Raw genomic sequence first — 25,912 nt, 5'->3', positions numbered from 1 at the left:
CCCAGAGAGCTTTCTTACGCTCCAGCTCCATTCATCTTTCATTTATCTGCAACATCTGTGTATGCAGGTACCTTTCAAATAGATTAATTTAAAAAGTAAACTTATCAGCTCTTTCCTAGAATCTTTTTCATATTCCTGAATTTCACATCTCAGTGATTACCAAGATAGAAACATGAAAATCATCTTTGATTCATCCTTTTTCCTCATCCCACTTCTCATAATGCCCTACCATTCAATTACATGAATGTTCATTAAATATGAACATTTATTCATTCCACAATCATTCTTTGAACATCTGGTGTGTATTAGGGACTGTGGCACTTCTCTCTACCACTATCAACACTGTTTTCATTCACAATCTCATTACATTTTATCCAGAATAATGATATTATTTTGTGAGTGACTGGGGCTATTTAATGTGTTCAGACTATGTAAGTAAGGATTACTTGACAAGAAAACCAATCATACTAGATCAATCTATTTATTATTTTATCACAAGCTGATATCTTTGATTTATAATTAGAACCATATTTAACTTTAGTCCATTCATATAGAATAAGTGGTGGGAAAAAATATCACACAATGAATTTGAGAGAAAGTTAAGATAGAGCCAGTTGCTTTATGGTGATTGAAATGAAATGCTTACTCAGAGTATGTTTTCCAGTCACCAAAACAACCAGATGACTTGTTACAGATTTCCGTCTATCCAATCCTAAAACATTCATTACTTTAATTGCAGTAGATCAACACTGTGTTCATTCTTTCCTTTGAACTATGAAAGAAACACTCACCTCTATTCTTCCTAAGCTTCCGTTGCTTTCTGAAAATAAGGCAGTGCTCAGGAACCTTATGTTAAAAGTAATAACAGTGCCTGGAAATAGCCCTGTGCTGTGAAGCAGGAGTATATTCTCATAGTAGATTGCCTCACTATGAGTCACAAGACCCATTGCTATCTTTTGGTGGTGGGTTGGTGATTATGAACAAGTCACTTAAGCCCCCTGAGCCTCAGTTCTGCCATCTCTAAAGTGGAGATAATTTCCTGACTTCTTTATGGCATTTTTCTGAGCATTATATAAAATTTTGTTTGTGAAACCATTTCAGGGTTATAAACACTACATAAGAAGCTGAAATGTCTTTTTCAGAGTGTCATTATTAATTCAGGACTCTTGTTACTTAGCCTCTCAAATGTTATTTTTCCTCTCTGCTTAATGGGAATAATACCCAACAATCTGCAATGTGGATTAATGTGAGACTTATGACTCAATAAATGTTAGTCCCTCAACATTCTTGATGTCTTTTATAAGAAATATTTTTATGAATAAGGATGATCAAAATATCAAATTCAAGTTTTTCACATTATTTCAATTCTATTGTCATACATAATATAAACCCAAAGTTGAACAAAGCTAGCATTATTAGAAAAAATTGTAGTTCAGCTTGCTTCAGACAACAAGCAGACAACTTTCCATGGGAGGAGTCCCTCCTGTGGGAACCTCTCAAGTAAACTTATGGCACAGAAGGGTGATACAAAACATGTTTTTTCCTTGTGAGCTAATGGCTCTCAGTAAGAGACAGATGAGTTCAAGGGTCGGAAGCATATACAACCTACCAGTTAACTCAAAATTGATCTAGATTCAATGCAATGAAGTCAAAACTTTATCACACATGTTGTAGAAATTGACAAGATGGCTAAAAAATGTATATAAAACTCAGAGGCCTTAAAATAGCCAAGAAAACTTTGGAGAAGAATAAAGCTAGATGACTTACACCATCTGATTTCGAGATTCACTATAAAGCTACAGTAATTCTGGGACTTTGGTTGGTGACACAAGTCTAGATCCATGCATAAATAGTCAATAAACTTAAGATAAAGATGCCAATGCAATTTAATAGGGAAGAGGAAAGCCTTTACAATAGTGCTGAAATAATTGAATATTCATATGGAGCAAAATAAATCTTGAGTTCTATCTTACATCCTACTAAAACGAGTTAGAGATGGATAATAGATCCAAATGTGTTAGTAAAATCTATAAAATGTTTTTAAAGAAAAAATAATGAAGTATCATTACAGCCATAGAGTAGATTAAGATTTATTAGACAGGACACAGATACACTAACCATTAAAAGGTGATAAATTAGACTTTAAGTAAATACTTCTGCCTACCAAAAGACACTAGTAGAAATATGAACAGGTAGGTCATGATTGGGAGAATATATTCACAAAATATATGTGACAAAGAAATTATATCCAGAATAAATAGCTCCTACAAATCAATAGTAAAAGATAGACTTATATTACTGTCCAAGATGAGATATCAAGAATTAGATTTACTCTCTTGATTGAGAAAAGCCAAAAACTCCCCCAACATATATAAGAATAAGATATTCAAGACATCAGTAAATAAAGGAAAATTATTCTTAAAAAGGGAAAAATATAAGATGAGATCTACAATTTCTTCATATTGATTCCTTGAGAAAGTTTACATGCTGAAGTACATGAAAGAAAAACCAAGACAGAGCCTAGCAAACTTCTTGAGTTGAAGAGATGTATCTGTCTTGGGAGACATAGGTTTCTGGAGTTTGCAGGATGTAACTGTAAAGGAAAGAGCTGCATAAAGATAGAACTCTAGAAACCTACAGAGATTCCCCCTTGAGTAATCAGCTGATTACTGATGAGCTCATGTGTGTGAAGCCTGGGAAAGAGCCACTCAAAAGGATAAGAGATGAATATGTTGCCCTCATGCTGAGCTAGAATTAGTGCTTATCCTGTCAGACTAGAAAATCTAATGATTAATGGAGTACTGAATAAAATATACAGAATGGTTTTGCCTTAGTATTGGGGAATAACTAGTTCTAGATTTAGATCTGCTTTGGTTTCACCTAATAAAGCTTAACAACACTCCAAGGGATAAAACTGTTTCCAAGTAACTTACCTGCATTCCAGAGCAAAGCAAAAGCAGAATTATTGGAAACAAGTCTATCTAGTGTCCAACAAAGTAAAATTCACAATGTCTGTCATCATACAATTTTTAAAAAATACCAGGCATGCAAAGCAGACAAAAATATGATCCATAATATGGAGAAAAACCAACCAATTGAAGCCACACCAGAAATAAAACAGATGTTACATTTGTCAGGCAAAGACATTAAAACAGTTATTATAACATAATTCTAGCTTTTAGAACATTCAGTGGAAATATGGAAAAAATCTAAAGGACCCAAATCAAATTTCTTGACATTAAAAACTACTGCATGTGGAATAGAAGATATACTGGATGGAATTAACATAATATAGACATGGAAAAATAAAGTATCAGTAAACTTTAAGGAAAAGAATGAAAACTATTTGGTATGGAACATAAATAAAAGAGAATACATATTTTAATAAAAATAACAATAGTTGCAGAATGACTTTGAGCAATGTAATCTACAAATAAGTGGAGCTTCCAAAGAAGAGGAAAAAGGGGGTGACAGATAAATAGTCGAAAAAATAATTGCTAAAAATATTCCAAATTTGATGAAAAGTATAGACCTTCAGATCCAGGAATCTCAATGATACCCAAGTATAAGAAACATAAACAAAACTATAACATAAAATATCAGAATTAAATTGTTTACAACTGGAAGTAAAGAAAAACATCTTAAAACCAGCCAGAGGGAAGACACATTACATATAGAACAAGGAGATGTAAAGCAGCAGATTTTTCAAAACCAATGCAAATGTGTAGACAATATAGCAACATCTTTAAAGTGCTGTAAGATAATAATCAGAAAACCAATACTCTGTCAAGTTAGAATACTAAACCCAGCGAAAATCTTTCCAAAATGAAGGCAAAATAAAGATTCATTTAAACATGAAGCAGCTAAAATAATTTATCACCTACAGGACTGAACTACAAGGAATATTTAAGAAAATCCTTCAGGTAGAAGAAAAATGGTACTTAATGGCAATATCAATCTACACAAAGGAATGAAGAGCACTGGAAATCTTAACCCCATGAGTGAATACATAACATTTTTTTGTATTATTTAAGTCTCTTTAAAAAGGAGTTGGCTGTTTAAACAAAAATAATAATGATACAGTGTAAGATACATAACATTTAAAGTTAAAATGTATGACAACAATAGCACAAAGGTAGAGAAGGGAAAATAGTGTTAGAACTGGAAGTATAAAGTATTATACTATCATCAATTTTTATACTATAGGTGAAGTTGTATAATATCACTAGAAGTTAGTTTGTGATAAGTTAAAGATGTATGCTTTAAACCTCAAAGCAACCACACACAAAAAAGAGGCCCAGCTAATAAGACAACAAAGACGATAGATATAAACCTAAACGTCTTAGAATTCACATTACATTTTACAGTCTAAATGCTGCAAAATGAAAGATTGTGGATAAATGAGCAAAACCTAACTATAGTCCCCTTAAAGAAAAAAATCAGTTTAAAAATGAAGACAAAATATGTTAAAAGTAAAGAGATAGACAAAGATATACTATGCTAACATCAATCAGAAGACTGCTAGGGTGGCTGTATTAATATTAGATACACACAAAAAATACTTTGCAACACAGAGTATTACCAGAAATAAGATGATTATTTTGCAATTATAAATATGTAAATTCTTCAAGATAATATAATTCTAAACATTTTGTGCACCTAATAATGATAGATAAGTAACCCAGTTAAAATGAACAAAAGATTTGAGTGGACAAAAATATATATCAATACTTATAAAGGAGTTCAACATTATTAATTTGCAGGAAAATGTAAATTTAAAACATGATGAAATGCCATTGCATATACATTAAAATGGCTAGAATTAAAATGATGAATTTCATTCCTAGATATTCACATAAGAGAGAAGACAGATGTCCACAAAAAATATTTGTACAAGAATTTTCATAGCAGATGTATTCATAATAGCCAAACACTAAAAATAAACTATTTGTCAGCCAAGAGGTGAATGAATAAATAAACTTTGCTATAGACATACAATAGAATACTTCTCGACAATAAAAAGGAAAAATCTACTGATATATGCAACAACATGAATGAATCTCAGAAGCATAGTGAACAAAGTTACAAAGACATACAAACTGTATAATTTCATTTATATTAAGTTCAGTGAGAAAAATTGTTCTGTAATGATACAATGAGAACACTGGTTGCCTACATTAAAGTTGGGTATTTACTAGAAATGAATATGTGGGAACTTTCAGGAGTGATGAAAATGTTAAATTAAATCTCTTGCTTTGGGTAGTAGTTACATGAATGTATATATTTATCAAAACCCATCCAATCATATAGTTTGGATTTATAAACTTTATATAAAATATACCTCACTTAAAATAACACTATGTATATTAAATTCTTGCCAAGGTTGTGTAATTGATCACCATAAGGTTTGTCATTGCAGAAAACTGTGACAAAAATAATTGAAATTATTATTTATTGAGTCCTTATTATAGGCTAGGTACGATGTTAGACAATTTAAATAGATTATCTAGGTTAATTCTCAAAATAACCATGATGGGATGCCTGTGTGAGGAATCTCCAGAACCCTGCCCCTATTAAATAACCATTTAACTGCTCAAAGTGATTGTTTTTAAAGAAACCAGCCATTTAAAGTGTCTGGATATTTTCTTAAGGGCATACAGCAAATGGAGAAACATCTATTCAAAAAAATTTACTAAATCTTGGCAAGAGCAGTGAAACTGTGACATTTGGTTCATGACACACTAATATACCTTCCCCCAGCTTAGTGTGTCAGAAGCTCTCCTCTGCACATTTGCACTCAGTCTCTCTCTCCACCTAGTTACCAGTCTAAGGCTGTGGTTTCACTCCAAGAGTCAGTGGCACTGTTATCTCTTATTCTTGTAGCTCCATGTTGCATAAGCTCTATTCTGGGTAAGCACGGTCCAGAGGCTGAGTTTACCTTCCCTTAATCAGCTCCTACTTATGGGATAAAAGATCTGATCCAGGTATAGCAGTCTGAAAATACTGGACCCTGAGGGTCACTTCCCTAGTTTGTGTATAAAGGAAGAAGTTCCATTGTGGGAGAGGCAAACTGAGAACACCAGGGGTTACTGTCCCTGCCCAGAGCCTTGTTCATACAGCAGGGATGTCATTATAAGAAAAGTGAGTCGCTGTTCCTGCCCTCAGCTCTGGTACAGTAATAAATAATACAAGGTTTTGACCCAGATGAACAGTCAGATCTTAAAGACAGAATCTCCAGAGATCTCCCTAAATGGACTGACTTCACCTGTAAAAGAGTCTGGGGAAGTGTATGCCTAAAGGCACAATGGAGATCCTGGCATGATCAATCAAGAGAAGGCTGGTACTTTCATGATCCTCAAAGTGAAAATGAAAATGTTACCAGCTAAAATTTTAACAGAGAGAATCAGAAAAATAGTTAAGAAGAATCCTATTAGAGTTAAACCATCCCCCAAAACTGGCAGTCTCATGCCCTACAAAGGATAGAATTCTTGAGCAATTGATGCCCCAGGACATTGCCATAAACAACAGAGCAATGAAGTAACAGTAAAGTCTAATATTTGAGTGTGAAGCCAATACACGTAGATCAGCCAGGTGATCAAGGAGACTGCATATACCCCAGGCTGCACCCTTTTAGAAGTGACATCAGAGCTGTACACTGTGGGAGAACACTTTACTAAACCAGTCCCTTCAAGTCACTAAAATAAAATTAAGTAAACAAGCAAATAACAAAAATGAAGCTCTGGTTAGGGAGTCAGTTTCCATACATGTTATAGTGTATTATCTAAAATATGTCTATTTTTCAGCAAAAAAATTATGACACATTCAGAGAAAGAGGAATGTGTGATCTATGCACAGAAAAAAAAAAAAAAAAAAGATTGAGCAAAAGAAACTGCCTGTGAAGGGGCCCAGATGTCAGACTTAACAAAGTTTTAAAGTTGATAGTTTCAATGGTAAGTTTTACTTATCTAAAAAACGTATTTAAGATGTATTAGTAGCCACTCTTTTCAAGTTCCTCTGAAAAATAGAAAAGGAATCAGTTCAAAAATTAGAAGAGGAAGGACTACTTCCTATTCTCTGAGGTCAGTTATTACCCAGGTGACAAAACTAGAAAAAATAAATCTTAGCTATAACACAATATATTTTATGAATACATACAAAAAATCCTCAATAAAATACCAGCAAACTGAATCCAGTATCATATAAAAATGACTGAATACCATGACAAAGTAGAATTATCCCAGGAATGTAAGGATGGCTTAATATCTGAACTAAATTATGTAATGCATAGTATCAATAAAATAAAGAATAAACAATGCATGACCATCATAATACATACAGAGAAAAATGGACATGATACAACACACTTTGTAATAAAAACACTCAAGAAGCTAGGAAAAGAAGGCAACTTCCTCAACTTAATAAAATGCATCTGTGAAAACTCCTTAGCTAACATAATACGTAATGGTGAAAGACTGAATTAAATTTTGTGTATGCTTTTCCCCTAAGATCAGGAAAAGTCAAGATGTCCTTTCTTATTACTTCTATTCAACATTTTACTGGAGATTTTAGTCAGGAGAATTAGGTCAGAGAAAAATGAAATAAATGGCATGCAATTTAAAAATGAAGAATTAAAACTATATTTGCAGATGGTATAATCTTGTATGTAAAAAATCATTAAAAATCAAATAAAATCTGTTAAAGCCAATAAATAAGTTTTCTATGGTTTCAGTACATAAGAACACCATACAAAGATTGATTATATTTCTATACACTGGCAATGAACATTCTGAATATGAAATTCAAAAACAATTTATTTTATGATAACATCAAAATGAATAAAATACTTGGGGACAACATAGTGCAAGACTTGTACATTATAAACTAAAAATCATTGTTAAAGTAATTAAAGAATTAAGTAAAAGGATAGATATCGCTACTGTTACGCGTCAGAGAGCAAAATATGCTTAAGATGGCAATACTCCCCAAGTTGATCTACAGATTCAATATAACCTCCTTCAAAATATAGCTAGGTGTTTTTTTTGTTTGTTTGTTTTTTGTTTTTTTGTTTTTTGTTTTTTTTCCCCAGAAAGGGACATACTGGTTCTAAAATCCAAATGGCAATGCCAGGGACCCAGAATAGCCAAAACAATCTTGAAAAAGAAAATAGAATTTATACTTTCTGATTTAAAAACTTACTACAAAACTTGATTACAAGATCAAGACTGTGTGGTTCTGACGTAAGCAAAGACACATAAATCAACGGAAGACCATGGAGTTTCCAGGAATAAATTTATACATTTATGGTCATTTAATTTGTACCAGGACAATAAGACAGGGACACCTGAATATTAATATGCAAAATAATGAAGTTGGATCATTTCCTCACACCATACATAAAAATCAACTCATAATGGATAGCAGAAAGAAGATTAAAGAGTGTGAGGAGATCTTAAAGGTCAGTGAAATAGAGGCCTTTTGCATATGAACATCAGGTGGCAAGTTTACTGGCTATCAGCCTCCAAAGTAGTATCCCATTTCATGCCATTCAGAGTTCTTTGTCTGGACCAGCAGACTGAGCCACCCCACTGTTCCTCTACAGACATTATCGTAAAGTGAGGCCCTCTCTGCTCCATTACCAGGCAGATTTCCAGGCATTTAGAGCACCACTTGCCCAGGTCAGCAGCCTGAGCCATTTCACCCTTTCTGTGCAAAGACTGTGGTAAAGTGGAGCCCTCTCTGCTTCAGACCCAGGTAAATCTCCAGGTAATCAGAGATCCTGCTTGCCTAAATCATCAGCCTGAGCTGGCCCACCTCTCCTGTGCAGAGACAGCAGGGCCCTCTATACTCTGCACACAGGCAAATCTCTAGGCCATCTGGAACACCCACTGTCCTGGATTAGGAGTTTAGGCCACTCTCTCTCCCCACGCGTAGAACTTGGAGCCAAGGAGGTTTTTCAGCTCTGTGCCTAGGTACACCTCTGGGGGCTTGTTGGCTGCCCACCAGATTCTCCCTCAATGCTGGTGCTTGTGCTTGCCATGGAGGGACCTGTAGATAGGCCTGACTGGTCCAGTCTCACCCATCTTGCCCCCCCCCCCCAACCCCCTGAGGCTAAGCAGAGGGCTCAGACCACTGTGTACTCCAGACATCAGACCATTGCCTATGGCAACAGAGACCTTCTCCCAGGGAGCAAAGATCAAGTATACAACCATTCGCATTGTCTACAGTTGGCTCTTACCATAAGCGCCATCTACTGGCTCATAGTTTGAACTGCACACCCCAATATAAAAACTGCCAACAGAAGTGCACAGGGCTATAGAAGCACAGCCAAAACCCCCTACCCAACAGCCGCATTCCCTAAGGGACAGAGAAAGGGAAAAGGAAAGAAAAAAATATAGAGAGAAGAGATTGGATTAAGATGGCAGTTAGGAAGCAGGACTAGCTTGCAGCTCCCATTCGGGATGACATAGCATTGTGTGGAGACTCACATCATGAACTTTTGCTCCAAGAACTACCTCAGGAACATACCAGGAAAGCTGAGAGAATCCAAAGACCCTTTGAAGGACCTGGATCACTGCTGCAGGCTCCTTGAGATGCCGAAAAACTGTGAGTCGGCTTGCTTTCTCAATGGGGAGGCTCATGGTCTGGGGCAAGTTCTCAATTCTGGTCACCAGCTGCCTGGAAATAGACTTGGTGCCATTAGTGGGGTGCGGTGGAAGTGAGATTGGCCTTTAGGACTGTGGTATATGTGGGAACAGGTTGAGGCCTGTGACTGCCAGCTTTCCCCCACTTCCCTGGTGACCTGTATGACTCAGCAGAGGCTGCCATAATCCCCCTGGGAATATAAGTCCATTGGGCTGGGAACCATCCCCCCATCTTCCACAGCAGCAGCAGCAGCAAGCCCTGCCCAAGGAGAGGCTGAGCTCAGACATGCCTATCCCTGCCCCCACCCGGTGGTCTTTCTCTACCCGCCTGGTAAACAAACACAAAGGTCATATCTCCTGGGAGTTCTATAGCCCTACCCACCACCTTAGAAACCTGAATTCCTAGCCAGGTGTCCCTCAAGCAAGTGTATATCTTTCCTATAGGACTGCAGTTTATGTGCTCTTGAAAGTGCCACCTCCAGACTAGAGGCCAACCAACACAAAACCAGCACACTAAACACAAACACAACCAAAGACCTTCAAAGAGTCCACTTCATTCCCCTGCTACCACCACTAGAGCAGGTGCTGGTCTCCATGGCTGCAAGACCTGAAGACATCACATCACAGGACAATTTGCAGGCATCTCCCTAGCACCAGCCTAGAGCCCAGTAGCTCCGCTAGGTGGCTAGATCCAGAAGAGCAAAAACAATCACTACAGTTAAGCTCTCAGGAAGCCCCATTCAGGAGAACACCATATCAAGGGAGCACTCCATGGGACAAAAGAATCTGAAGAGCAGTGCTTGAATTCCAGATCTTCCCTCTGACATAGTCTACCCAAATGAGAAGGAACCAGAAAAATAATTCTGGTTATATGACAAAACAAGGTTCTTTTACACCCCCAAAAGATCATACCAGCTCACCAGCAATGGATCCAAACCAAGACAAAATCTCTGAATTGCCAGAAAAAGAATTCCAAAGGTCAATTATAAAGCTAATGAAGGAGGCTCCAGAGAAAGGTGAAGTACAACTTAAAGAAATAAAAAACATGACACAGGATATGAAAGAAAAATTCTTCAGTGAAATAGATAGCACAAATAAAAAAGATCACAACTTCTGGAAATCAAAAACACACTTAGAGAAATGCAAAATGCCCTGGAAAGTCTCAGCAATAGAATCCAACAAGCAGAAGAAAGAACTTTAGAGATTGGAGACAAGGTTTTCAAATTAACCAAAGACAAAGGACAAAGAATTAAAAAAAAAAGCCTCTAAGAAGTTTGAAACTATGTCAAATGTCTAAACATAAAAATAATTGGTGTTCCCAAGGAAGAAGAGACATCTAAAGTCTGGAAAACATATTTGAGGAAATAATAGAGGGAAACTTGCCCAATCTTGCTAGAGATCTAGATATCCAAACACAAGAAGCTCAAAGAACACCTAGGAAATTTATTGCAAAAAGATCATTGTGTAGGCACATAATAATCACGTTATCTAAAGTCAAGATGAAGGAAAGAATCTTAAGATCTATGAGGCAAAAGCCTCAGGTAACCTGTAATGGAAAACCTAACAGATTAAAAGCAGATTTCTCAGCAGAAACCCTGCAAGCTAGATGGGACTGGTATTCTGTTTTTAGCCTCATTAAACAAAACATTCATCAACCAAGAACTGTGTACCCAGTGAAACTAAGCTTTATAAATGAAGGAAAGATACAGTCTTTTCCAGACAAACAAATACTGAGAGAATTTGCCACTACCAAGCCAGCACCACAAGAACTGCTGAAAGGAGCTCTAAATCTTGAAATAAATTCTTGAAACACACCAAAATAGAACCTTTTTAAAACATAAATCTCACAGGACCTATATAACAATAACACAAAGAAAAAAACACAAGGTATTCAGGCAACAAATAGCATGATGAATAGAATAGTACCGCACTTCTGGATACTAATATTGAATCTATATGGCCTAAATGCTCCACTTAAATGATACAGAATGGCAGAATGGATAAGAATTCACCAACCAAGTTTCTTCTGTCTTCAAGAGACTCATCTAACACATGAGGATTCACATAAACTTAAGGTAGAGGGGTGGAAAAAGATATTCTATGCAAATGGACACTAAAAGTGAGCAGGAGTAGCTATTCTTATAACTGACAAAACAAACTTTAAAGCAACAACAGTTAAAAAAGACAAAGAGGGACATTATATAATGATAAAAGGACTAGACCATCAGGAAAATCTCATAATTCTAAATATATATGCACCTAACACTGAAGCTTCCAAATGTATAAAACAATTACAACTAGATCTATGAAATGAGAAAAACAGCAACACAATAATAGTGGGGGACTTTAATACTCCACGGACAGCACTAGATAGGTCATCAAGACAGAAAGTTAACAAAGAAACAATGGAGTTAAACTATACCTTACAGCTAATGGACTTAACAGATATTTACAGAACATTCTATCCAACAACTACAGAGTATATATTTATTCATTAGCATGTGGAACATTCTCCAAGATACATGATATGATAGGTCACAAAACAAGTCCCAGTAAATTTAAGAAAACTGAAATTATATCAAGTACTCCCGTAGACCACAGTGGAATAAAATTGGAAATCAAACAAAAGGAACCCTCAAAACCATGCATATACATGAAAATTAAATAACCTGCTCCTGAATGATCACTGGGTCAACAATGAAATCAAGATGGAAATTAAAAAATGTGAGCTGAACAATACAGTGGCACAACCTATCAAAACCTCTGGGATAAAACAAAAGTGGTGGTAAGAGGAAAGTTTACAGCATTGAATGCCTACATCAAAAGTCTGAAAGAGCACAAATAAACAATATAAGGTCATACCTCAAAGAACTAAAGAAACAAGAGCAAAGCAAACCCAGCAGAAGAAAAGATATAACAATGAGAGCAGAACTAAATAAAATTGAAACAAACAAACAAAAAAAGATAAATGAAACAAAAAGCTGGTTCTTTGAAAAGGTAAAATTAATAGACAATTAGTGAGACTAACCAAGAAAAGAAGAGAGAAGATCCAAATAAGCTCAATTAGAAATGAAATGGGAGATTTACAACTGATACCACAGAAATACAAAGGTTATTTAAGGCTACTATGAGCACCTTTATGTGCACAAACTAGAAAACCTACAGGAGATAGATAAATTCCTAGAAATATACAGCCCTCCTACATTAAGCCAGAAAGATATAGAATATCTGAACAGACCAATATCAAGCAGTGAGCTTGAACTGGTAATTAAAAAAAAATTGCCAACAGCAAAAAAGGTCCAGAACCAGATGGATCCACAGCTGAATTTTATCAGACATTCAAAGAATTGGCACCAATCCTATTGATGCTAATCTAAAAAGTAGAGGAAGAGGGAATCCTCCCTAAATCATTATATGAAGCCAGCATCACCCTAATACCAAAACTAGAAGGATAAAACAAAAAATTACAGACCAATATCCCTGATGAACATAGATGCAAAAATCCTCAACGAAATACTAGCGAAAAAATCCAACAGCATATCAAGGAGATAATCCATCATGATTAAGTGGGTTTTATACCAGGGAGGCAGGGATGATTTAACATATGTAAGTCACTAAATGTGATACACCACATAGACAAAATTAAAAACAAAAATCACATGATCATCTCAATAGACACAGAAGAAGCATTTGACATAATCCAACATCCCTTAATGATTAAAACCATCAGCAAAATTGGCATAGAAGGGACATAACTTAATTAATACAAGTCATCTAGGACAAACCCACAGCCAATGTTACACTGAATGGGGAAAAGTTGAAAGCATTCACCTGAGAACTGGAACAAGATAAGGATGCCCACTCTCACCACTTCTATTTAACATAGTAGTGGAAGTCCTAATGAGAGCAATCAGACAAGAGAAAGAAATAAAGGGCATCCAAATTGGTAAAGAGGGAGTCAAACTGTGGCTGTTTGCTGATGATATGATCGTATACCTAGAAAACACTAAGGACTCATCCAAAAAGCTCCTAGAACTGGTAAATGAATTCAGCAAAGTTTCAGGATACGAAATTAATGTCCACAAATCAGTAGCTCTGCTATACTACAACAGTGACCAAGCTGAGAATCAAATCAGGAATTCAACCCCTTTCACAATAGCTGCAAAAAAATAAAATACTTAGGAATATACCTAACCAAGGAGGTGAAAGACATCCACAAGGAAAACTACAAAACACTGCTGAAAGAAATCATAGACGACACAAAATATGGAAACACACCTCATGCTCATGGATGGGTAGAATCAATATTGTGAAAATCACCTTACTGCTAAAAGCAATCTACAATTTCAATACAATTCCCATCAAAATACCACCATTATTTTTCACAGAACTGGAAAAAACAATCCTAAAATTTATATGGAACCAAAGAAGAGCCTGCATAGCCAAAGCAAGACTAAGCAAAAATAACAAATCTGGAGGCATCACATTACTCAAATTCAAACTATACTGTATTTAATCCATCTTGATATAATTTTAGTACGTGGTGAGAGAAAGGGATCCAGTTTCATTCTTCTGCATATAGCTAGCCAGGTATCCCAGCATCATTTACTGAATGGGGAGTTCTTTCCTCATCGCTTACTTTTGCCAACTTTGTCAAAGACCAGTTGCCTGTAGGCGTGTGGCTTTATTTCTGGGTTCTCTATTCGGTTCCATTGGTCTGTGTATCTGTTTTTGCACTAGAATCATGCTGTTTTGGTTACTGTAGCCTCATATTGTAGAAAACGAAATACTGCATGTTTGCTGTCACTTATAAGTGTATATTCATGGAGATACAGTTGGCAATAATAGACAATGGGGACTCCTAAAAAAGGGGGCAAGGGTTGTAAAACTAACTATTAGGTAGCTTGCTCAGTAACCAGCTGATGTGATCAATCATACCCCAAACCTTGGCATTGCCCATATTCTTATATAACAAAACTGTACATATACCCTATGAATCTAAAATAAAAGTTGAAATTATTTTTAAAAAGTAATAAAGGTTCTAGCTCTGTAGCAAATAGAAAAAATAAAAATCCAACCAACCAACTAAACAAAAAAACTAAATGGATGTCACGTCTAAATGTAACAGCTTAAAGTATTCATTTATTAAAAGAAAACCTACAAATAACTTTTTGCAAACTCAGATTATACAATTTTTTAAAGTTACAATTCCAAAAAGCAAGCAAAGAAAAAACTATAAATTGAACCATAAAAGTGTCATATTTTGTGTTGTAAAATCTACCATCAAAAAGTGAAAAGAACAACCTATGTAATAAGAGAAAATATTTGCAAATCATATATCTGCTAAGAGACTTGTATCCAGAATATACAAAAAACTAATATTCAATAATAAAAAGATAGCCTATTTTTTTAATTAGCAAAGGACCTGTATAGACATTTCTCAAAGAGAGGGATATAAATGGACAATAATAATATGAAAAATGCTTAGTCATTAGGTAAATGCAAATGAAAATCTAAATAAGATATCACTTCATTTCTACTGAAATAACAAATATTGGTAAGAAAGCAGAGAAATTGGAACACTGATATATTGCTGGTGGAATATATTGTTGCTTTGGAAACAGTTTGGCAGCTCCTTAAAAAGTTAAACACAGAGCTAGCATATGACCCTGCAATTCTACTTCTAGATATATAACCCAAGCGAAATGAAAACATGTCCACACAAAAACTTGTACACATATTTATAGAAGCATTTATCATCATAGTTAAAAAGCATCAAATATTCACCATCTGATAAACGGGTAAATACAATGTGATATATTTATACAATGGAATATTATTTAGCAATGAAAAAGAATGAAGTTGTGATACTAAAACACTGGTGAATCTTGAAAATGTTATGCTAAGTGAAAGAAGCTAGTCACAAATGATCACATATTGTATGTTTCCATTTGTATAAAATAGCAAGAATAAACAAATCTATAAAGACAGAAAAGAGATTAGTTTTTTCATAAAGTTGGCAGGAGAAGTAAGGGGAGTGACTACTAATGGTGTTTTTTATCAGTGTGGATTAAATGTTTTAAAGTTCGTTTGTAGTGATGGTGGCACGGCTCTGTGGATATATGAAAAATAGTTTAGTTTTACACTTTAAATGAGAGATGTATGATATATAAATTATGTCTCAACAAAGCTCTTAAATTACAACCCTAAAAAATTATTATCCATATTATTTCACAGATGAGGAAAGTAAATCCACATAAAACACAGGGTTGATCAAACTAGGATTACAACCAGACCCTAGCTGATTACAAAGCCCATGTTTTGCCACCATATTACTCATCTGTGGAAGTGGGTCATACACAGATCCCATTGTTCACATTTAATGGAAACAAGGAATAACAGTAGAATCCAGAATAGCAAGTGCTGCCCAGGAATGCAACCATAGTGTGTGTCCTTGAATATAATGAATCTTGAGCACTTTGATAGTAAGAAATGGAATGGAAGAAAGAAGCTCAGAATGGGAATAACAATCCCTCAATTAAATATGGGGATTTACAGTCTTCTTCACAAGAGGTTGTAAGGGTGTTGAGCCTATATGATATGGTTTGGCTCTGTGTCCCCACCCAAATCTCATGTCGAATTGTGGTTCCCATGTGTCGAGGGAGGGGCTGAGTGGGAGGTGATTTGACAATGGGGGCAGACTTCTCCCTTGCTGTTCTCGTGATAGTGAGTGCATTCTCGTGAGATCTGATGGTTTTAAAGTGTGGCACTTCCCCCTTGCTCTCTCTCTCCTGCCATCTTGTGAAGGTGCCTGCTTTTCCTTCACCTTCTGCCATGATTGTAAATTTCCCGAGGCTTCCCCAACCCTGTGAACTGTGAGTCAATTAAGCCTCTTTTCTTTATAAATTACCCAGTCTGAGGTAGTTCTTTATAGCCGTGTGAAAACAAGCTAATACACTGCATTACATCCCCAGTGGAGAAATAAAGAAGTGGAAGCTCAAAGAAGTTAACCAGTTTGTCTAGTCACAAAGTTAGCAAGTAGATGGGCATCACAAATCAAAGACTATGTTTTAGTTTTGTTTTGTTTTGGCTTACCCATTTTCTCTTTTTCTCTCTGTAATAAATGGTGTGGGCAAGTACTCTCCTTTATTGTGGCAAGATGTACTCATGCTGAATGAATCATCAACTACTTAAATGAAGAAAAATCATTGTTGGCAATTTTGCATTAGCTAGGTTGTTTATTGGAATGACACATGCATTAGTTTTATTTCTTGATAGATGATTGGCCTTCAAATCTTACAAGTGACCATCTAAACACGTGAATAGGTTTAAGCTCTGTAAGAATAGAAAACATAGCAGGAATGTTCCATGACACAGACCTTGCAAAAACACTCTTCATCAGAAAGTTTCCGTATCACAATCATATTGTTCACTATTTCTGATCCTGTGTGCTTAAAAATAGACCATCATTAAGTCTGTAAAGACTGTCCCTTTAAGTATTAAGGTCTCAGATGTTCTTGGCATCTTTTATTCTATTGATAATAGAAAAGAGCTGTGTGTTCCAGGCAGGTCAGTCAGTAGACCATTCTGGCAGCCTGGTTGTCCCCAGTGAGTGAAATAAGAGAAAGGGATTGGAGTCAGGAGCTTGGAGACAGAACCCATAATCTCAGAGAAATGTCTATGCCTGCTGAAGCCCTCACAAGAGGAGCTAGCACTTACAGAGGGCATTTTAACTTAGTCTCATTGAAGCCTGGCAAGGATGAAGATTAATATATTATCCCTGCTTTAAAGACAAGGAAACTCAAGGCCAATGAGGCTATGTAGTTTGGCCAGGCTCACGGGGATATAAGTGGCAGGGTTGGCATTTGAACTATCTAAAACTGAAAATGATGTCTTTAATGACTCCAACCCAAGTCATCCCCAGGGCCTCCTGGATGCTGTGCCCTTAGCGGTACTCTGGATATTCATGTTATGCTCTTAACAGCATTATCAGTGTAAGCTAGAAAGCCTGGATTAGCACTCAGACTAGAAGGGAGACTTTCATCTTGATGTCTTAGACCTGCTTGTCCATAAAAGAACCAACCTTGAAAAGGAAGGAAACAGACCTGGTTCAATCTCTGCCATTAACTGTGTGTGACCTTGGGAAAGAAAGTGACTCAGTTTCTCTGAGCTTCAATTGCTTCATCCTGTGACATGGATCTACTAGTGTTCCTTTGCTAACGTCACAAGGTTATTGTGAATATTAAATAAAATCTCCTACGTGGAAGGATGTAATTGATTCATTCAGCACCATGACTCTGCTCTGACTCAGGAAACCTGGGAGGTGATGGTGATGATCATCTCTCTCATTCCCCACTGTGCTTTGTTTCTGGTCTGGGGTTCCCTCCCCCAACTCCCACCCCTGGTCACCACCTGGCAAGTGCTTTCAATCTTATCCCCAGTTGCCACATTAGCATACAAATATCCAACTAACAGTGTCAGAAGGAAATGGATTCATTCTATGACATTAGCAACTGACAATCTAGGTTTCCCAGTGTTTTTGCCTTTAAATTCTTCCAGTAAAACAGAGCTTTGTAATCTGCAGTCTCATTCATTCATGGGCTTCAGAGAGCTCATGAAACATCTGAAATTGCATGAAAAATTGTTTGTATATGTGCATATGTGCCTTTTTCTGGATAGAGTCCCCAGAGTTTCTATCCGATTTTAAAAAGACCCAGTGACTCTGAAGAGTCAAAGATATACTCTAGGAGAGTAGTTTCATGACCATGTAGCAGCCACCTAAGTTAGAATCACCAGTTACATCTAGGTCTCTTCCCTCCCTCATCATCAGTGTCCCATGTATCACTGAATCTATCTTCTGAAATCTTCTAAACTTTCATTTCCTTCTAAGCTCACTTCTAGTTTAGACTTTCATCATCTATTGCCAAGAGTATTAAAATGTTTGAAATGGTCTTCCTGACCCTGTTCTTGCTACATCTAAGCCTTCGGTAGAATCACAGTGACCTTTAAAAGCACATGTCTAACCTGTTATTACTCTGCTTAAATTAGCTCCCTAGCATCTTCACTGCAAATCTCAACCTCATTAGGCTTTATTTCATGGATTTCAAAACTCCTGAACTGCCTACCCCAACAATTTTTTTTTTTTTTTTTTTTTTTGGAGAAGGAGTCTCGCTCTGTCCTCCCAGGCTGGAGTGTAGTGGCGCCATCTCAGCTCACTGCAAGCTCCACCTCCTGGGTTCATGCCATTCTCCTGCCTCAGCCTCCCGAGTAGCTGGGACTACAGGTGCCCACCACCACGCCCGGCTAATTTTTTGTATGTTTAGTAGAGACGGGGTTTCACTGTATTAGCCAGGATGGTCTCGATCTCCTGACCTGGTGATCCGCCCACCTCAGCCTCCCAAAGTGCTGGGATTACAGGCGTGAGCCACTGCTCCCGGCCACCCTACCCCAGCTTTTTATCCATGTCCCTTTTCCCCCTCTTCTACGGACTCTATGACTCTGTTTAGGTGATCTCAGACTGTTAGAATTTGATTCTTCTGTTTCCTCTATCTGGCATATTCTTTTACCTTCTCCATCTAACAAACTCCTTCTTAGCTTTTAAGGTTCAACTCCAATATCACCTATGTTGCAAAGGCTTCTCCCTATCCCCATAATTTACCCCTGTAACAGTGAGTCACTCCTTCCTTTATGCTCCAAATCTCACTTCTTATGTGATTATTTCTACAAATTGTATTTTCTTAATTCTATAGATACATGCATTTCCTACTGCACTCTGACCTTCATATTATCAGAGGTGACCAAGATAAGTAAGACCCAGTCATTTCTAAATAAATGTTTGCTGAATGTATAAATAGATTATTTAGTAACTTATGTTGAATAAGCGGGCACCACTTCAGACAACAGAGTGGGACCTGGGATCAGTTGGAAGTTTTCAACAATGCTTGACAAATCATACTTCATATTGGTGACTGCTTTCATCCATGAAATGGGAGTAGAAGGTCAATAATGATGTTTTGGAAATATTTGGGTCAATAGATACCTGATAACATATTGCAAAGAATACTGAATTAGGAATTAAGAACCCTAGATTAGAATAACAGCCTCGTTATTAACTTCTCTATGTCACTGGCCAAATTTGCTATCACCTAAGGGTCTCAGTGTTCTTAGCAAGATGATGTTAAAACAGACTATCTCTTAGATTACTTGCAGCATTAACATTTTATGAGTCTAAAAAAGCAAACCACAACCTTACATTCTGGGCTGATTTCCTGACCTGGTTTGGCAAAGACAAATGGAGATAGGAAAACTACTGCATCTCGATGAGAAATGCATCTTTTTATGCTAGGGCCTTCAGGCAGGAGGTGGTGTGGAAGTAACATTTTGTAACATTTATCTGGGACTCTATAAAGATACCTCAATTGTGTGAAACTCTGGCATTAGTGTGCAGTTTCCCAGAAGAGCTTTTATGAGACTCTCCTGAGTCAAAGATCCTATGCCAGATCATCCAGAATTATGACTCAAGTCTGGTAAGTTAATAGGAGGGTCAAGAAACCAAAAGGCCATGGTTGGGAATCAAGATCTTAAGTCTGGACCAAACCCCAAAGCTGGCCCCCATCCTTAAGAGTACATAACAGTAAATCAAGTGTCCTTTTCTTAAAGAGAATGGGCAGAGTGAATCTTTTATCTATGTGTGCTGGAATATTTCTCTCATGACAAAAAAAACATTCTGGTATAAAGAAAAGGATACGAGACCATTTCAACTAGCTGTGTCAGTCCCCTTGAGAAAGTCACAATTTTTCTAGGCTTCCATTTTCTGCATCTGTGCAATGGTAACAGACTTCTCTTTTACTTCTTTGAGTTGTTGGTAGAAACAGGTGAATCTTTGTAGGTGAAAGCACTTTGCAGTTTGTGAGGTGAAAGTACTATTGGAGGGGTGGGCCACGATTAGAAAAATAAAATAAAATTATATCTCTTTTCAACTCTTGGTTCATTATATTCCTAAACCTGATGAGCTTCTCTCTTGGAGGTGACAGATTTGAAACTTAATCTTGAGTTTCTTGATCTTTGAAGAAGGAGGCACAGAATTCAGAAACTCAGAATATTCAGATATGGCACTACATCCGTAAAATTATAGTGACTACTAAAAATCAACACTCAGTAGAAAGGAAGATAGCAAACATCCATTAACAAACACATTTTATGTTCTGCCAGACATTGATTCCAGAAGATGTAAAAGTAAATATTCATTATGTATTTCAACCCAAATATATATATATTTCAACCCATATCACGTCAGAGAGAGTGGGAACCTGTGATGGACCCCTTTATTTCATTTGGCTTCCCTCACCAAATCCTCACCTGGTGTGACTACCTTTCTTTAGTCATGACCGCCTGTATTTGTGAGGTCTTCCCTAACAGAGCACCACAGACTGAATGGTGTAGGCAACAGAACTTTATTGTCTCATAGTTTTGGAGACTGGAAGTCTGTGATGGGTGTTGGCAGGGCCATGCTCCCTCTTAAGGTGCTAACAAAGGATCTCCTGGAGGCCTCTCTCTGAGCTTCTGGTTGTTCCCTGGCTTGTGGCAGGAAACTCCTATCTTTACATGGTGTTCTATTCCCTGGGAGTGCATTTGTGTCCAAACTTCTGTTTCTTATAACGACACTAGTCATATTGGATTAGGGCCCACCTTTTCCCATCTCACCTAATTATATCTACAGTGACCCCATTATCAAATAAAACCATATTCTGAGGTACTAGGGCTTACAACCTTAACATACACATTTATACATGCCACAATTTAACCCATAATACTGCCCATCTCTATCGAAGAGAAACCACGTCTCTTTGAACTCTCTATCATCACCTTATACTGTCATGGGTGTGGGGTCCATTGTACCCATTTGATCTCTCTCCTAGTTCCCCTTGCCCTCCCTGGCCTTAGACTTAGAGAGCTTGTTTGGAGGTTCTATTAGGGGAGCACAGCTACTCATATACCCTTGACAGAGGCATAGTCCTCCTCTATTGGAGAAGGTTGTCCTCTTTGACTGAGCTTGCAGCTTCTGGGAGGACACAGATGGAGCAGTGAGGGAGAAAGCAGACACGCCCTGGCCAGTCAGATCAGCCAAATCAATGCTGGTAATAAATGGAGTGACAGATGTCAGAGCCAGATCACTCTCACATCCTAGAGTTAGAGTATTAATTCACTGGAGCTTATACTAAATAGGAGAAGGAAATAGATAATGAGTCCTACAAAGGGAGAGATAAAAAGAACTAAGTATTTTCTGAGGTGGGCAAGAGGACATGTTACTGACAGTATTGACTTTCTGTCAGAAAATTTCTAGTAAATTAATATAATACACATGTCTCCATTCTTTCTCTGACTTGATTTACATGGCCCCCTTCTGTAATTCTAGTTTGGACAGGGGAAAAAGGTGGAGAACATTTCTTGCCACATTCCCACTACTTTATATTATCTGTGCATATAAGATAAATGAGGAAGAGAATCAGCACTGTATATTCTTTGCAGCCTAATTCAGTAGTTTTCCATCGGGGTAGATTTTATTCCCCGAAGGATATTTGGGTATGCCTAGAGCTAATTTGGCTGTCAGAAATGAGGGAGGGATAAATCTAGCGTATAGGACAGGGATGCTGCTAAATACTCTGCAATGTACAGCACGACAAAGGATCATCTAGACCAAAAAGTCAATAGTGGTGAAACTAAGAAACCCTGGCCTAGGTATGTGATTGTACCCTTCACAATGGCTATGAACAAGAATTTCAAATGCTTCTCTACTTATTTGGGATCTTTTGGCTATTGAATCCTTTTAGCGTTTTACCTTCATATCCTTTGTAGAGAACACTAAAAAATAACCTTTAGGACTCAGAGCCACCTGTTATTTCCTACCATGGGCATGTGTTCTGTTGCCTCCATATATGAAAGATGGGCAAAAGATTAGTCAATCTCGAGCTTCCTTTTAGTTCTTGAAGTCAGTGAATTTCTAGTTTTAGAAATAATGTCACTTTCAATAACTGTATTTAAAAATTCAGCAATATCACCATTATCTTTCCACATTAGATTTGTAATATTTTAAATGGCCGATAATCTTGAAGAAGTAATATTGTCAAAAGTTTTTGACTTTGCAGATACGTCACTTAGTAGGTTACCTATTGCTCATTGACATGAAGATAGATTCAGACAACAAAGACATACTTAGTATATAAAGTCAGTTCCACTAGCAATCTCCCAGAAATGAGATTAGCTTAGGAAAGGAACTATTTTTTCTTGTCATATAGGAACTCTCTATTCTGATTGAGGATGGTAACCACTGAGTTCCTTTTATGTGTCAGATACTTTACATGCATTACTTCATTTAGTTACCACCACAGGTCTATGTGGACAGTACTATTATTATTCCTAGGAAACTGAGGTCAGAGAAGGTAAACAACTTACCTCCTCTGATCACATGGCTAATAAGTGGTAAAGTCATAATGTTAGTCTAGGTTTGTCTGACTTTAGGGTCTCAAACTTTGGGTAAGAATTCGGTTAATGAACTTAGTGTTTATTGATGAATAGCATAAGAGAGAGAAAATTAGGAAGTGATTTTAGAAAGTGCTGCTGGCCCTTTGTATCCAGGGATTTTGCATCTATAGATTCAATGAACCAAGGTTAAAAAATATTATTAAAAACAATAAAAATAACAATACAACAATAAAAAATAATAAAAATAAAAAACAGTGTACAACTATTTACATAGTATTTACATTGTACTAGATACATTATAAGTAATCTAGGGATGATTTAAAATATGCAGGAGAATATACACAGGTTATATGCAAATACCATGCCATTTTATATAAGGAACTTGAGCATCTGCAGAGTTTGCTATCCACAAAGGGTCCTGGAATACCTCATGGACACCAAAGAATGGCTGTATGACGATAAATAAATGCTTAAACAAATTATAATACATCCATAGTATGTACTACTATGTAGCTATCAAAACTTATATTTTAGAGTAATAAAAATAAGAATATAAATGCCAAGTTTTTATAATGCCAGCCATATGAACATTTTCATAATGTGTTGATAAGTGAAAAAAGCAGAATGGAAATAAAATGTATAGTGTGATTTTAATTTTTAAAAATAATTACATGTGTTATACATAAGTTACATATGTGAAAAATACTAGTATAGTATATACACCAAAATATTAAGAGTAATTATGTCTGAATGGTAATATTCTGGGTCATTTTTATTGATGCTTTTCTGTAGTGACCATACTTAAACTTACATACATTTTTGTTATTGGATAAAATGTTTTTCATATATCTATATCTATGTTCATGACTAAATGCACATTTATGTCCATGTCCACATCTCTGTCTTATCTAGTTTATCAACTCTTTGACTATGGAGGTGAACATTTTTTCTTATCTATCTGGAATCATTTTCCTTTCCCCCCTTTTTATAGTATTTGGATCCATCTGTCTCTTTTTTTAAGTTTCACCTTTTTTAAAAAAATTTTTTTATTAATTTCAATAGCTTTTGGGGTACAAGTGGGTTTTGGTTACATGTAAGAATTGTGTAGTGAAGTCTGAGATTTTAGTGCACCTGTCAACAAGAGTAGTGGGTGCATAACATATTGTATTCATTATGTAGTGTTTTATCCCTCTCGCCCCTCCCACCCTCCCTCTTCTGAGTCTTTATAGTTCATTCTATCACTCTGTATGCCTTCGTGTACCCACAGCTTAACTCCCACTTATAAGTGAGAACATACAGTATTTGGTTTTCCATTCCTGAGTTACTTCATTTAGAATAATGACCTCCAGCTCCACCCAAGTTGCTGCAAAAGACATTATTTCATTCCTTTTTTATGGCTGAGTAGTATTCCATGGTGCATGTTTGCCAAATTTTCTTTATCCACTCATTGGTCAATGGGCACTTAAGTTGGTTCTGTTACCGATGGAGGGTGTCCAGGTTCGTGGCGTTTTGAACAAACAATTAGACAAAATGCATAAATAAAGCAAGGAAATAATGAAACCACAAAGGTAGAGTTTTATTGAAAACAAAAGCACATTCCACAGGGTGGGAGTGGGCCGAGCAAGTGGCTCAAGAACTTGGTTACAGAAATTTCTGGGTTTTAAATACCCCATAGAAGTTTCCCATTGGTTACTTGGTATATGCCTTATGTAAATGAAGAGGCTGAAGTGAAGTTACAAAGTTATTTACTTGGTGTATACCCTATGCAAATGAAGAGGACATTTCCTGTCATAGATGAAGTAGAGTTACAGAGTTATTTACTTAGTCATGGAAAGTTGGGGTTTTTCTGTTTGATTTAGTTCTAGGAAGTCCTTAGATTCCCTGCCCCAGATCCTATTCTTCTGCCTCAGTCCCATAGCTTTGCAATTGTGAATTGTGACGTGATAAACATACATGTACAGGTGTGTTTTTGATATAATGACTTCTTTTCCTTTGGGTAGATACCCAGTAGTGGGATTGCTGGATCAAATGGTAGATCTACTTTTAGTTCTTTAAGAACTCTCCATACTGTTGACTAGAGGTAGAGTAGGGGTTGTACTAATTTACATTCCCAGCAGCAGTGTATAAGCATTCCCTTTTTACCAAACCATGACAACATGTATTGTTTTTTGACTTTTTATTATGAATCCATATATCTCTTAATTAAGAGATCCATGTATTTTTTAATTAGCCCATTTATCATTGGGGAAGTTAAACCCATCCAAGCTCCATGGGGAACTTTTGATGGTCAAAGCCAATCAGGGTAATCCCTTCACTTTTATGGAGTGATTGGTTCAGGTAATGTAGACCAAAGGCAGCTACCTCTTGGAATTATGATGCACAGGATTTGGGTCCCAATTGGGCATACGTGACTCAATTTAAGCCAGTTAGATGAAAGGTGAGGATTTACCAAGGGCACTGAGGTAAGAATCTTGCTTATTATTCTCAGACAGGTAAGAAAAGAGAAGACATAGTGTTTGAATATGAACACCCTGAAATTGCTATAGGCAATTCATCCTTGGGTTTATCTGCCTTTGGATGAAACTGAACCCACAGCAAAGGTGAGAGTAGAGTAATAGACACACACACATGCACACATGCACATACATGCACGTCCTTGGTGATATTGTTAAGTCTTTCCGTCAAACCAACCCTGAATCAATTGTGAGTGTGGAGAAATGAGAACGCTTTTACATTGTTGGTGGCAATGTAAATCGGTGGAGCCATTACAGAAAACAGTTTAAACATTC

At 36.6% G+C, this 25,912-nt stretch overlaps 1 pseudogene, besides 4 other annotated features; it reads right to left on the bottom strand.

The window, feature by feature from the left end:
• Window positions 9,058–9,117: an enhancer, noted in NCBI's record as "active region_27964". NCBI's record gives its function as "activates an Ori minimal core promoter by ATAC-STARR-seq in GM12878 lymphoblastoid cells {active_cell/tissue: GM12878}" and the evidence as "EXISTENCE:reporter gene assay evidence [ECO:0000049][PMID:35858748]".
• Window positions 9,228–9,287: a silencer, noted in NCBI's record as "silent region_19538". NCBI's record gives its function as "represses an Ori minimal core promoter by ATAC-STARR-seq in GM12878 lymphoblastoid cells {active_cell/tissue: GM12878}" and the evidence as "EXISTENCE:reporter gene assay evidence [ECO:0000049][PMID:35858748]".
• Window positions 9,347–9,847: an enhancer, noted in NCBI's record as "H3K27ac hESC enhancer chr8:130315207-130315707 (GRCh37/hg19 assembly coordinates)". NCBI's record gives its function as "activates a minimal SCP1, AML or CMV promoter by ChIP-STARR-seq in primed H9 embryonic stem cells {active_cell/tissue: H9 hESC(primed)}" and the evidence as "EXISTENCE:reporter gene assay evidence [ECO:0000049][PMID:30033119]".
• Window positions 9,848–10,348: an enhancer, noted in NCBI's record as "H3K27ac hESC enhancer chr8:130314706-130315206 (GRCh37/hg19 assembly coordinates)". NCBI's record gives its function as "activates a minimal SCP1, AML or CMV promoter by ChIP-STARR-seq in primed H9 embryonic stem cells {active_cell/tissue: H9 hESC(primed)}" and the evidence as "EXISTENCE:reporter gene assay evidence [ECO:0000049][PMID:30033119]".
• On the bottom strand, window positions 21,533–21,825 carry RN7SKP206 (RN7SK pseudogene 206; annotated as a pseudogene).

Source organism: Homo sapiens, chromosome 8 (genome assembly GCF_000001405.40).
Source record: "Homo sapiens chromosome 8, GRCh38.p14 Primary Assembly".
Lineage (NCBI taxonomy): Eukaryota > Metazoa > Chordata > Mammalia > Primates > Hominidae > Homo > Homo sapiens.
This window is presented reverse-complemented; position numbering and strand designations above follow the sequence as displayed.